Genomic DNA, 12,918 nt, shown 5'->3' with positions numbered 1-12,918 from the left:
GCAGAGCCCACACAGCATAATTTATGCCTTATCGATGGTAAAAAGTTAAATGGGGATTGGTGAAGATAGACAAGGTGGAGCTTTAAAAAGATAGAATAGAGCAGCCCAAAGCTGAACAATAGGGTCTTTATTGTCATCTGCAATAGCCAGGTTGAAAGAACATGTACATTTACCATGAGAAGGGAGATTTACCAAGTTGACATTTTCAACGTGACCCCAGAATGCAATATGGTTTGACTAGGATTTATGTGAATTACAGTAAGAGAGCCTCTCAACTTGGCCTGCTTTTGGAAACAATGGCCCACCCCATGGTTTAGGTAATGCTGTATGCATTCTGAGGGAGGTGGTCCGTCATTTACAGATGAAGAAAAGGCTGAGGGCATAAAAACATCTTAAGTCTTCTGCAACCAGGGTAGATGGAATTCTAACTTGAAACACTAATTTCAGTTTGCAAATGCAAATGAGTTCTAAGAGAGGGAGAAACTGTTTTAGGGGACCATTTGAAATCTGTCCTTCATATTCACATTGAATGTAAGGGAAATAGCCACCAATCCTCAGAGTGTGAAGGAGCCAACATTAATCTCTTCCTAGATCTAAAACTGCCAAATTAAAATTTGTATCAGTGACTACTTGACCCACTTTCCTTTCTTGCTTTCAGGGCACATCCTTACATGAGCCTAATCACTTATTTGCCAAGAGAATAATTAACGTTTTAGAGTCGCTGTGCTAGTTAATAGTGTAAGACAAAAATAAAATTCTTAGCCCCCTAACCATCTGAACAAACCCCTCCTCAGCCAAGGGCATTCCAAAGTTAACCTGAAAAACTAGTTCAGGCCAGGATGGGAAGTGGTTGTTGGACATGCCTCACACCTGACCAGCATTAACATCAACACAGAGATTTTCAGACTGACAGAAGAGACTCTTTAATAAGAAACATTTACAATCTATTACCTCTGAAGCCTGCTTCCTAGAGGCTTTATCTACATACTACAACCTGGTCTCCACAACTCCTTATCATAACCCAGACATTCCTTTCTATCAATACCAGGTCTTTAGACAATAATCAATTGCCAATCAGAAAATCTTTGAATCTGCCTATGACCTGGAAGTCCTCTCACCCCCCATACCTGCTTTCAGTTGTCCCGCCTTTGTGGCTGAAACAATGTACATCTTACATGTATTGATTGATGTCTTATGTCTCCCTGAAATGTATAAAACCAAGTTGTAGCCCAACCACTTTGGGCACATGTTCTCAGGATCTCCTGAGGGCTGTGTCATGGGCCATTGGTCACTCATTTGGCTCAGAATAAATCTCTTCAAATAATTTACAGAGTTTGGCTCTTTCACTTACAATAATTTGGCACCTAACATCAGGCCTCAGAGAAGACTCAGAGCCCTGAAGGAATTGGCTGAACTTGGAGCTAAGGTACCAGCAGGGGCCCAATGATAGTTCTCCCCAACTTTGAGCATTTCCTCCAGTGGAATTGTTAGGTCCTTCTGAGCACTGGACCTCCCATTTGGCTGATGGTCCTTGATTTATTCTTGAGTTTTTTTTTTTTTTCCTCCTAGAAAGTTATTTGGGATCCCTGTCTAGTTCGGAGGTGCATTCTAAAGGTGTTCTCCATTGCCTTTTTCTAAAGACAAGGAGAAGGACCCCTTTTTGGGCACCTCATTTGGTTTCCGGTTTGGAGGTGCATTCTAAGAAGTCTTCTCCGTTGCTTTTTCTTCCAAAATTAAGCTCAATTGGTTTGTCTGTGCATTTGTGTGAGGAACTGAACTGTTATTTTCATAGATAAATGAGACTGAGGTCCTCAGCTCTGAAGAAAAAGGGCATTTTGTTCCTCCCAGCTGAAAGGTGCTCCTGGGTGACTGGGGACGAAGTAAAAGTGTCTGGGGGTTGACTTCCTGAGACGTGCAATGGCCCTACAGGGAACCCCCAAGAAAATTAGTTTAGAAAGGCTCTTCCAGGAAACACATATAAGAGCTGATCACTTGGCATTTTGAGCCCTCTTGGAGGTAATAGAATTCCAGAGAGAGAAACAGACATCTAAGAGGGCAGAAACAATTCAGTGGTGGAACACTGTAGAGTCCTGCTCACAGTCAGCACACATCGAGCCACCACACACACAGAAAAACCCAAATGTCTTTCAAGTTTATGTGATACAAGTAAAATATTTAATAAATAAGCTGGCTTTCAAATTATTGGTAAAGTAATATTAGAAATGTCTTAAGAATTTTCAGCATTTTTTATATTTATTGATCAAGCAGTTCCATACTTATCCCTGCCAAATACTATAAGATGTCAACATATGGCATGAGGTTTATAAAACTATAAACCCAACCCAAAACAGAATGATCTTTGCTTGTGTAATTTTTTTTATTTTTTGAGATGGAATCTTGCACTGTCACCCAGGCTGGAGTGCAGTGGTGTGATCTCGGCTCACTGCAACCTGCACCTCCCAGGTTCAAGCGATTCACCTGCCTCAGCCTCCCAAGAAGCTGGGATTACAGGCTCCTGTCACCATGCCCAGCTAATTTTTTGTATTTTTAGTAGAGACGGAGTTTCACTATGTGGGCCATGCTGGTCTCGAATGCCTGACCTTGTGATCCACTCGCCTCAGCCGCCCAAAGTGCTGGGATTATAGGCATGAGCCACCGCACCCAGCCATGTAATATATATTTTTTTGAGGCGGAGTCTCAGTCACCCAGGCTGGAGTGCAGTGGCATGATCTCAGCTCACTGCAAGCTCCGCCTCCCAGGTTCATGCCATTCTCCTGCCTCAGCCTCCCGAGTAGCTGGGACTACAGGCGCCCACCACCACGCCCGGCTAATTTTTTGTATTTTTGGTAGAGACGGGGTTTCACCGTGTTAGTTAGGATGGTCTCAATCTCCTGACCTCGTGATCCGCCTGCCTCGGCCTCCCAAAGTGCTGGGATTACAGTAATTTTTTATAAAGATACTTATATTGTTGGTTTAATGAAAACAGCTAAATCCTGAGTTATTGGTAAAATACCAATATAGTTAGCCTTAAGTTTCTTACTCAGGTAAACACCTGAAATTCATAGGTTATAAACATGGTTAACAGGGAAATAACTTTAAATGATGAATATTGGTTTTCATAAATAATCTAGGTAAACTATTAAAAATAAATTAAACAAGTAAATGTAATGGAATAAATGCTTGTAAACAAATGTCATATAATTTCCAATCTAAAGTTGTATGAAATAATAGATATCCACTAAACATCTGGGTAATTTTCAATTTAAGATTCTAGGAAAACATTTCTTCTAAAAATGTGTTCTTATTAAAAGGTAAATAATTTTTGTCTAGTTTATATGTTAAAGGATATATGTAAAACAAGATAAAAGGAACCAGGAAATAAGAGACATAAAGAAAGTTACAGATATAAAGAGGTATTTTTGGTAAGAAAGATTAAAAGAAAAATGACTTTGTATGAGAGAGGATCTTGTATGTTAAATTTTTATCTTAAAATAAAATGACTGGTTGTTTAAGAAATAGGGATATTTAGGACAAGCCAGAAAGTCCAAGCATGTCATGAATGGTCTGTATAAGTTGTAATGAGGTTAGTAAAAAAGGAATTTATTTTTTAAAAAGTTATATAATTAAGTGGGCTGTAATTGAAAGGAAATTATAATAATCTTTCTAGGAATTGAACTTTGATATTAAAAATACACTAATACAAACGAAATAATTGGTTAAACAAGCTTTTATAAAAACTATTGACTTTTAAAGCAAGAAGTTTTTAATTTTTAAATTCTATAATCTGTTTCTTTTTGAAATTCTTCAGATATCTCAGAAGTGCAACTTCTGCTGTACCCTGCTGCTTCAGGTCTTTCTTCCTTTTGAGAAGCCTGGTATGGTAAATCTCTTCTTCAATTTTTGTTGGCTCCTGCAATTTTTTTAGTAAAGGGAGAGAATTTTTGAAAACAGACAGATAAGAAAATAGAGGATTTGCTTTTGTTTATATGTCTGTTATGTCTATATGTTTGAATGTGTAATGTGGAAGTGAAATTTCACTACCAAATTATATGGAAGAGCTCTAATCAATTGACTTAAAGAAAACCAAGTGTTTATCAGACTAATAGAAACTAGCTCAGATGCCTTTTAATTCACATGACTTTAGTAACATTTGGTAAGGTTAATTTCGTAAATTTACTCATAAAATTCTCTTCAGTAATTTAAAAATTTTAAACCATGTTATGTTAAAGTAAGCAATCCTTATTTTTTCACTGGGAATTTGGGTTACTAAGAGTTCAAATTATAGGAGAGTAAAATGTGTTACTCTTCACCAAAACCTTTTTTGGGGAAGTTTATAAAAACACAAGGATGTGGTGTTGGCTAAAGAAAATGTAATTTTTAACTGGGTGTGGTGGCAGGTGCCTGTAACCCCAGCTACTCAGGAGGCTGAGGCAGGAGAATTGCCTGAACCCAGGAGGCAGAGGTTGCAGTGAGCCGAGATCATGTAACAGAGTGAGACTCCATCTCAAAAAAAAAAAAAAAAAAAAAAAAAAAAAAAGGAAATGTAATTTTTTTTCTAATTTTGAGGCTATTTAGGGGACACATTAAAATAAAGAAGAAGTATATAAATAAAACTAAATGGATAGAGAGAAAAATAAAAGGCTGGTAAGGAAAAACCTTTGACTCCTTGGTGGTCGCGTGGTCACCCATGGTATGGAGCTGCAGCTGGGCTGCATTTAGTTACTAAAGGTAAAAGTTACCAGTGGAATTTAGAGATGGATGATACTCATACTCCCAGGAAGTTACTTCACTGAGTGCATAAGGAAATGCAAACTAATAAGAATAAAAACAAAATATCCAATCCCTTGGTTATTGCTATCTGTAATAGTTAAAATGAAATTAAAAGGCCAGGCATGGTGGCTCACACCTGTAATCCCAGCATTTGGGAGGCCAAAGCGGGTGGATCACCTGAGGTCAGGAGTTTGAGACGAGCCTGGCCAAGATGGCGAAAGCCTGTCTCTACTAAAAATACAAAAATTAGCCAGGCATGGTGGCAGGTGCCTGTAATCCCAGCTACTCGGGAGGCTGAGGCAGAAGAATTGCTTGAACCAGGGAGGCGGAGGTTACAGTGAGCCAAGATCGTGCCATTGCCCTCCAGCCTGGAAGACAAGAGCAAAGCTCTGTCTAAAAAAAAAAAAAAAAAAAAAAAAAAGACAGAAAAAGAAATTAAAGGAGAAGTCTGGGTTGAGCCTTGCTGCTAGACCAAGGTCTGATTTAAGTCAGTCTGAGCTTATGCCACCAGCCTCAAAGCTGCCCCCCAAAGGGCAAACTTATGCAGGGACAACAGAAAGTGCCTCTATGACTTGTGGTTACCAAGAAGATAGTCAATGTGGGGTAAGGCAAAACCAAGTAACTATTAAAACCAGAGCAGGCCGGGCGCGGTGGCTCACGCCTGTAATCCCAGCACTTTGGGAGGCCGAGGCGGGCGGATCACGAGGTCAGGAGATCGAGACCATCCTGGCTAACAAGGTGAAACCCCGTCTCTACTAAAAATACAAAAAATTAGCCGGGCGTGGTAGCGGGCGCCTGTAGTCCCAGCTACTCGGGAGGCTGAGGCAGGAGAATGGCGTGAACCCGGGAGGCGGAGCTTGCAGTGAGCCGAGATCACGCCACTGCACTCCAGCCTGGGCGACAGAGCGAGACTCCGTCTCAAAAAAAAAAAAAAAAAAAAAAAAAAAAACCAGAGCATATAACATAAAGGAATTGTTCCATTATTAATTGGTGTCATCAGCTTCCTCAAAACCTTGTAAGAGCAACTAATTTAAGGACAGCATCTTTAATTTTAAATGCCACATAATGAAAGAGCAAGTTTGGGTTGATACAGGACTCACAGCCCACTATTAAACACTCACTGATGAGTATATGTTATCCAGTTGCACAGGAGGTTATTCCTGAGGGTATATCCAGCCTGGTGAACCAGATAAAAGCCACTGTAAGGCTGATTACCCTGATAAGGGGACTGCCCAACTCTCCCTATTAAATGCTAAGTGGGACACCCCAGACAAAACAGCTGATAATGCTTCTTATGTGAGCCATGTGAGACTGGCTTTATGATGACCAGGATATTCTCCCACTTAATATGCCTATTACCCACATCGTGGTAAATGCTGTGGTTAAGAGGATCCCTTCTACATGGGCACTCTGGGTGACATTACTCTTGCAGAACCGAACAACTGTTTGAGGAGCCTTATCAAATTTGCTATCCTTCATGGGTCTTACAGATGCTTATAAAACATTAGGACATGTAACCAAAAATAAATGGGGAAGGCAAAAGGAAGTCAAAGGACTCATCCCAGAAGGGTGGAAATCTTTAGATGGTTATTAAGAAATGAAATGAAATGAAAATTGATGAGGTTAAAACAAAGGTCTTTACAACACTGTCAAAAGTTGGTTGGGTGGACCAAAGGGAGCCCCTGCTGGCCCCGCAACATTAAAAGGCCCCATACTAGTGTCCTACATTTCATACATTTCCTTAGGAGAAATCTAAGGAAAATTAAAAGGCAAAGGTTAAAATAAGAAAGCTGACATTGCCTAGGGCAATGTTGAGGCAAATTAAGATAAAGATTGATAAAAGAGGCTGAGTCCCTTGGCCCAGCTCGCTGTTGGGAACCCAAATTCTTTTTCACCAGAAAAGGCAAAATGGTCTAGGGGGTAGAGAAGTTCCTGGGATCAGAACATAAAAATGTAAAGGTTGACAGGATTATGAAATTTGAGATGTTTAAACAACTACCTTATGTAAGGTAGTTCTGAGTCCTTTACCTAAGTGTCTTATGAAAATGGGTATTGTGTCTGACTAGGGGATGTTTCCCCTATCTAGTACTGCAAAACTGAAGGCATGTAAATCTGTCCTTTGAGAAATGTTAACTGGACATGCTAAATGAGAACTAGTAAGATTCCCAGAATACAGGGTAGAAGTTGGAGTGCTGGTCAGGGCAAATCTTCCACTTGATAGCTCTTTGTGGCATGTTTATTGAGGCTTATGGCAAAAGCCGGTAAGCATTTCCCAATGACAACTACTGGGACTTTGGACTAGAGAGTTCCCACTTGAGAGACATGTGCTGCCTTGCTATGGGATGTTAGCTGAAACTATCCCTATGCTAATTGAAATAATGGTGCCCAAAAGAGTTCCATGATAAAATAAAAATTATTTATATAGGTTCTTGCTACCTGGGGATGCACGGAGGAGATACTTAGGAACAGGGAGCCTCTTTTTCCCTTAGGACTGACTCACTAGGTGAGGAGCTACTAGATTGTGCCGTGCCTGATGAACGTCTCTCATCTGACAAGAGCTGCTTCGGTTGTCAGTGGCACTTCCAAAATGAACAAATGACATCTTGTTTGGAAGACTGCTGCTCTGATTAGATAAGAGTCAAGGATATCTTTTGAGTTATTTATAGTTTAGAGCAATCGGGTAAAGTATGTTTTTGAGAGCATATTTTCCTTTCTGAGTTCTCCAAAATCCAGAAACTGTTCATGAGTATTTTGACTTTATGACAATATAGTTATTTGCAAAAATTCAGTAAAAAGCTTTATATTTTAAAACAGGACAATTGGAGACACTGGTTATTTTACCAAGGCTTTTACTAGAATAACACATTTTTAGGTAAAGTTCCAGAAAGCCAACTTGAAAAGAGCCTCTATGACCAGTCAATTCTTGCTGGACTTTATGTGAATAATCAGGCCAAATATAATAAGCCTGAAACTTATTTTGCACACAAATTGGTCTTACTATAGTTTCTCTTTAGCAGAAAAGGAGGGCTAGAGAAAGAAAGAAATTGTTTCAAGGGAAAACTATAACATCTGTTACTAGATTCCAGCCCTGACTTTTGTTTTTGAGTGCAGATTGACTCATGAATTATTTCTGGGCTTCAAAAATCCTCTAAAGAGTACCAGGTTATAATTTGCTTCATGTTTTAGTTGGTGCCCTGATGGAATATGTTCCTTTTTCTATTCTGACACACACATTATTTTTTTTATTGTCAAATTATTAATGTTATCTCTTATAGTTTTACTTCTTCTGGGAAAACTGGAATCATGATACTCTGAAAACTGAGATGATTTGACAAATCCTGCGAATCTCCCTCATTTGGAATCCCCCTGGGCCCAATCTGTTTTTCACTGTAAATACCCTGCTGCTAAAACTATATAAGCACCCTCCCTCTAGGCCCAGGGACTATCGTGGAAGAGGTGGGCACATTAGATTGTAAGGCCCAGTTTTGAGGGAAAGCATTATTTCAGATCCTCCCAATTAAGGAAGAGTACACAGACACCTAAATAGTTGGTAAAATAAGAGACTTTGCCTCCTGGGTTATTACATGTGTGGCACCTTTTTTATCCATCCCAGCCATAAAGAATTTCCTGCTTCCCATAGAATTAAAATAAAATTACTGAGAGAATATAAAAATACTTCATGACAAAGCCTCTTCAGTATAATACTCCCAGTTATGAGACTTATGTCAATAGATATATTTTTTTAAAAAAATTTATCGGCCACCTTAGGACAAATCACTAAAAGACCACAAAAAGCATGGCAGCACAACAAAAGTCTCCAAATTTCTTAGCTTAAAAGGTTTTAATAATGATTGTTTTGTATAATTCATTGCAATTCATCTGTAACTAAAACCAAGATCACAGTAGCTCAATACATAGAGGTTAAAGGTAGATAAGTCAATTTTGTAACCTCGCCTCTGGCTTTTCATTTGTTGGCTTTTATATTACCTTAAAAATTTTAAGGGTTAGTGAATGCCTGTTCACATTCATTCCCATCTGGCCTAGAACATTTAAATTGGCTGTAAGTCTTTTGACTCTTAAGTCCCTTGACCATAGGGGTCCCACCAAGGGACAGGAAAAGCCAGGGCAGCCAGCCATGCCACCTCAGCAATTGTTGTGGGACAAAATAAAAGTTTGGTGGCCATTGATGTTGCCTCTGGAAAATCTTAGCTAGAAGAGGGAGAATGTAAACCAAAAATAAAATTCTAAGCCCCCTAACCATATGAACAGACCCCTCCTCTTGGCCAAGGCCATTCCAAAGTTAACCTGAAAAACTAGTTCAGGCCATGATGGGAAGTGGATGGCCAGACGTGCGTCACAGCTGACCAGCATTAACATCAACACAGAGACCTTAAGACTGACAGAACAGACTCTCTAAGTCTGATAAGAAACATTTACAGGCCAGTAGCAGTGGCTCATGCCTGTAATCCCAGCATTTTAGAAGGCCAAGGTAGGCGGATCATGAGATCAGGAGTTCGAGACCAGCCTGGCCAACATGGTGAAACTCCTCTCTACTAAAAATAGAAAAATCAGCAGGGCATGGTGGCAGGCACCTGTAGTCCTAGCTACTTAGGAGGCTGAGGCAGGAGAATCGCTTGAATCCAGAAGGTGGAGGTTGCAGTGAGCCCAGATCGTGCCACTGCACTCCAGCCTGGGTGACAGTGCGAGACTGTCTCAAAAAAAAAAAGAAAAGGAAAAAAAAGAAACATTTACAATCTATTCTCTCTGAAGCCTGCTACCTGGAAGCTTCATCTACATGATAAAACCTTAGTCTCCACAACCCTTATCATAATCCAGACATTCCTTTCTATTGATTGCAGGTCTTTAGATAATAATCAATTGCCAGTCAGAAAATCTTTGAATCTGCCTATGACCTGGAAGTCCTCTCACCCCCTAATCCCCCCACTTCTAGTTGTCCCACCTTTGCAGACGAACCAATGTACATCTTACATGTGTTGATTGACATCTTATCTCTCCCTGAAATGTATAAAACCAAGTTGTAGCTCAGCCACCTTGGGCACATGTTTTCAAGACCTCCTGAGGGCAGTATCATGGGCCATTGGTCACTCACATTCGGCTCAGAATAAATCTCTTAAAATATTTTACAGAGTATGACTCCTTTTGTTGACAGTAGTCCCAAAATATACCACTAGTCCCATTGCTGGTTGCTTCTGAGAAGGGCAGATTATAGGAGTGACAGAATTTGAACAAGAATGTATCTGTCCGTGCCTTTATGCTTATGAAAGATGTCACCTCCAACTCCCTTGGCTTAGTTGGTCTCTGGTGGGTTGTCTTAACCATGTCCCTTCTCCTCCTCTCAAGATTTATGAAAGCTTGAGTAGATGAAACCTGAGTTTCAATGTGACACGACTGGACAATATGGTGTGGTGACTCATAGTCCAGGTGCTATAGCTAAATAGATTTTAATGAGGACTCTGCTACTTTGATCAAGTACCTTAACTTGACTGGGCCTTTTTCCCCCCAAAAAATGTAGACTAATAGTCCCCATCTGCTAAAATTGTGTTTATTGAGTAACATAATGTATTATCCTGTTCATTCGCAGAGTGAGTACTCAATACATGGTAGCTGATAGCTGTTTGTATTGTGATAGACAATTGAAGGTATATCTGCCTTTAGGCTTTTTAGCCTGGAAATTGATTGGATTGGCTGGGGTTGTTAGAACCTCATGGAGGTGAAGGAACATGAAAGTCTTTGATCAAATTGTTGCTCCATGTAGCAGAATCTAAATTTTGCACACTATACCCAAATGTATAAAACATACAGCACTCTTTATTTTCTGTAACTTGTCTTGATGCTCCCATTCCTGCTGATGGCAGGGAAAAGTCGTAAATTTTCCAATTATTAAGCATAACTCAATAACCTTCCACTATAAGGAGTTGGATTTTTTTGTTTGTTTTTTGTTTTGAGACAGTCTCACTCTGTCACCCAGGCTGGAGTGCAGTGGTGTGATCTCGGCTCACTGCAACCTCCACCTCCTGGGCTCAAGTAATTCTTCTGCCTCAGCCCCCCAAGTAGCTTGGATTACAGGCACCCACCACCATGCCCAGTGAATTTTTGTGTTTTTAGTAGAGACAGGGTTTCACCATGTTGGCCAGGCTGGTCTCAAACTCCTGACCTCAGGCAATCTGCCCACCTCAGCCCCCCAAAGTGCTGGGATTACAGACGTGAGCAACCCCACCTGGCCAAAAGGAGTCTTTTTAGGGTCAACTTAGCCTCTTCATAAATATTCCCATTACTCATCAAACTTTCAGTGAATTCATTGACTTATTTAAGTCAATATGGACCCACAGATTTCTGTTTCATTCAATGGGTTATAATTCATTACTGTCATTATTTTGATGCTCAAGTTGCCCCAGATTTGGCTAGTGAGAGCCTTATTCAAGTTGACTTCTGTGTCCTTTTGACATATCCCCATAATTCTGAGCAGTTTCTAACTTTCTAACACCAGGCGTTCCGGTTTTGTTTTGCGTTTTCCCTGCCCCAGCCTTGAATCATCCATTTCATCAAGGAAAGTTCTGAGGAAAAGTCCTTTTAGTGGAGAATGGTATCTAGAAACCAAGGTTTGATGCTGCATAGGCTCATTGCTATAAATTATACACACACACACACACACACACACACACACACACACACACACACACCATATTTCTACATGTCTGTATGTTGACAACCATGAATTCACACCAGAATCTCTAATTTCAAATTAATAACACAGGGTTCATTTTTGCTTTCTCCCTTTCCATATTTGTCTGCCCCTTCTCTGACAGACACCTGGTTCCCATTATCTTTAATGTAAAGTGTTAACTTATTTGATTAATCCCACTCTGTGTAATCAATCTCATCACTACTGCAGCTCCTTCTTCCACATGGGTACCCTCCTTGGGCTTTGGTACTGCAGGAGGAGGCCACTCTCCTGCACTGACTTCCTCTTCATTCCATTTGGGCTCTGAAATTCCATACCACCCTCGCCCCACATGGATATCCTCCTCCAACTCTGTCTTTCTACCCTGCCGTGGAAGCCCACCTGGCCAGTTTTTTTAATGGCCTTGGATTGAATTGCCCACAAAGAGAAGAAAAGGGGAAACAGTAGAGAGAAGGGGAAGAGGAAGAAGAGGGAACATATTTTTTTAAGCTATGAAAATATTTAAAAAAATTTTTTAGGCCAGGCGCGGTGGTTCACACCTGTAATCCCAGCACTTAGGGAGGCCAAGGCAGGTGGATCACAAGGTCAAGAGATCGAGACCATCCTGGCCGACATGGTGAAACCCCGTCTCTACTAAAAATACAAAAATTTGCTGAGTGTGGTGGCGCCCTGCTGAGGCACAAGAATCGCTTGAACCCAGGAGGTAGAGGTTGCAGTGAGCCGAGATCACACCACTGCACTCCAGCCTGGGCGGCAAAGTGAGACTGTCTCAAAAAAAAAAAAAAAAAAAAAAAAATCAAGTATTGGCTTGGCACAGTAGCTTGTGCCTGTAATGCCAGCACTTTGGGAGGCCAAGGTGGGAGGATCGCTTAAGGCCAGGAGTTTGAGACCAACCTTGATGGTCACTTTTTGTAGAGACCATCTCTTAAAAAAAAATTCTAAAAATTAGCCAGGCATGGTAGCGCATACCTGTAGTCCCAGCCACTCAGGGGACTGAGACTGGAGAATCACTTGAGCCCAGGAGTTAAAGGGATGCGGTGGGCTATGATTGTGCCACTGTACTCCAGCTTGGGCAACAGAGCGAGACCCTGTCTCAAAAAAATCAAGTATCAAATACATATTCTATTCACAATTATAATTACTTATTAAAGCAACATTTATCTTTGTATACAAATACAATATCAGGTGAGAAAACCTAACATCTCAGATTGCTTACTGTTCATAATGCAAACAAAATATATGTCTCAAGTCAGATTTTTAGGAGATTAACTTAAAATGAATAGGCAATTACATACATTAAATTTGTCATTAAAATGTTAATTAAAATCACAATTTCAATTATTTTTCACTGAAATAATTTTTTTTTTTTGAGACAGAGTGCTGCTCTGTCACCCAGGCTGACTGCAGTGGTGCAATCTCAGCCCACTGCAACCTCCGCCTCCCGG

This window comes from Homo sapiens, chromosome 12 (genome assembly GCF_000001405.40).
Source record: "Homo sapiens chromosome 12, GRCh38.p14 Primary Assembly".
Lineage (NCBI taxonomy): Eukaryota > Metazoa > Chordata > Mammalia > Primates > Hominidae > Homo > Homo sapiens.
The sequence above is the reverse complement of the archived record's forward strand: the minus strand, read 5'-3'. Positions refer to the sequence as shown.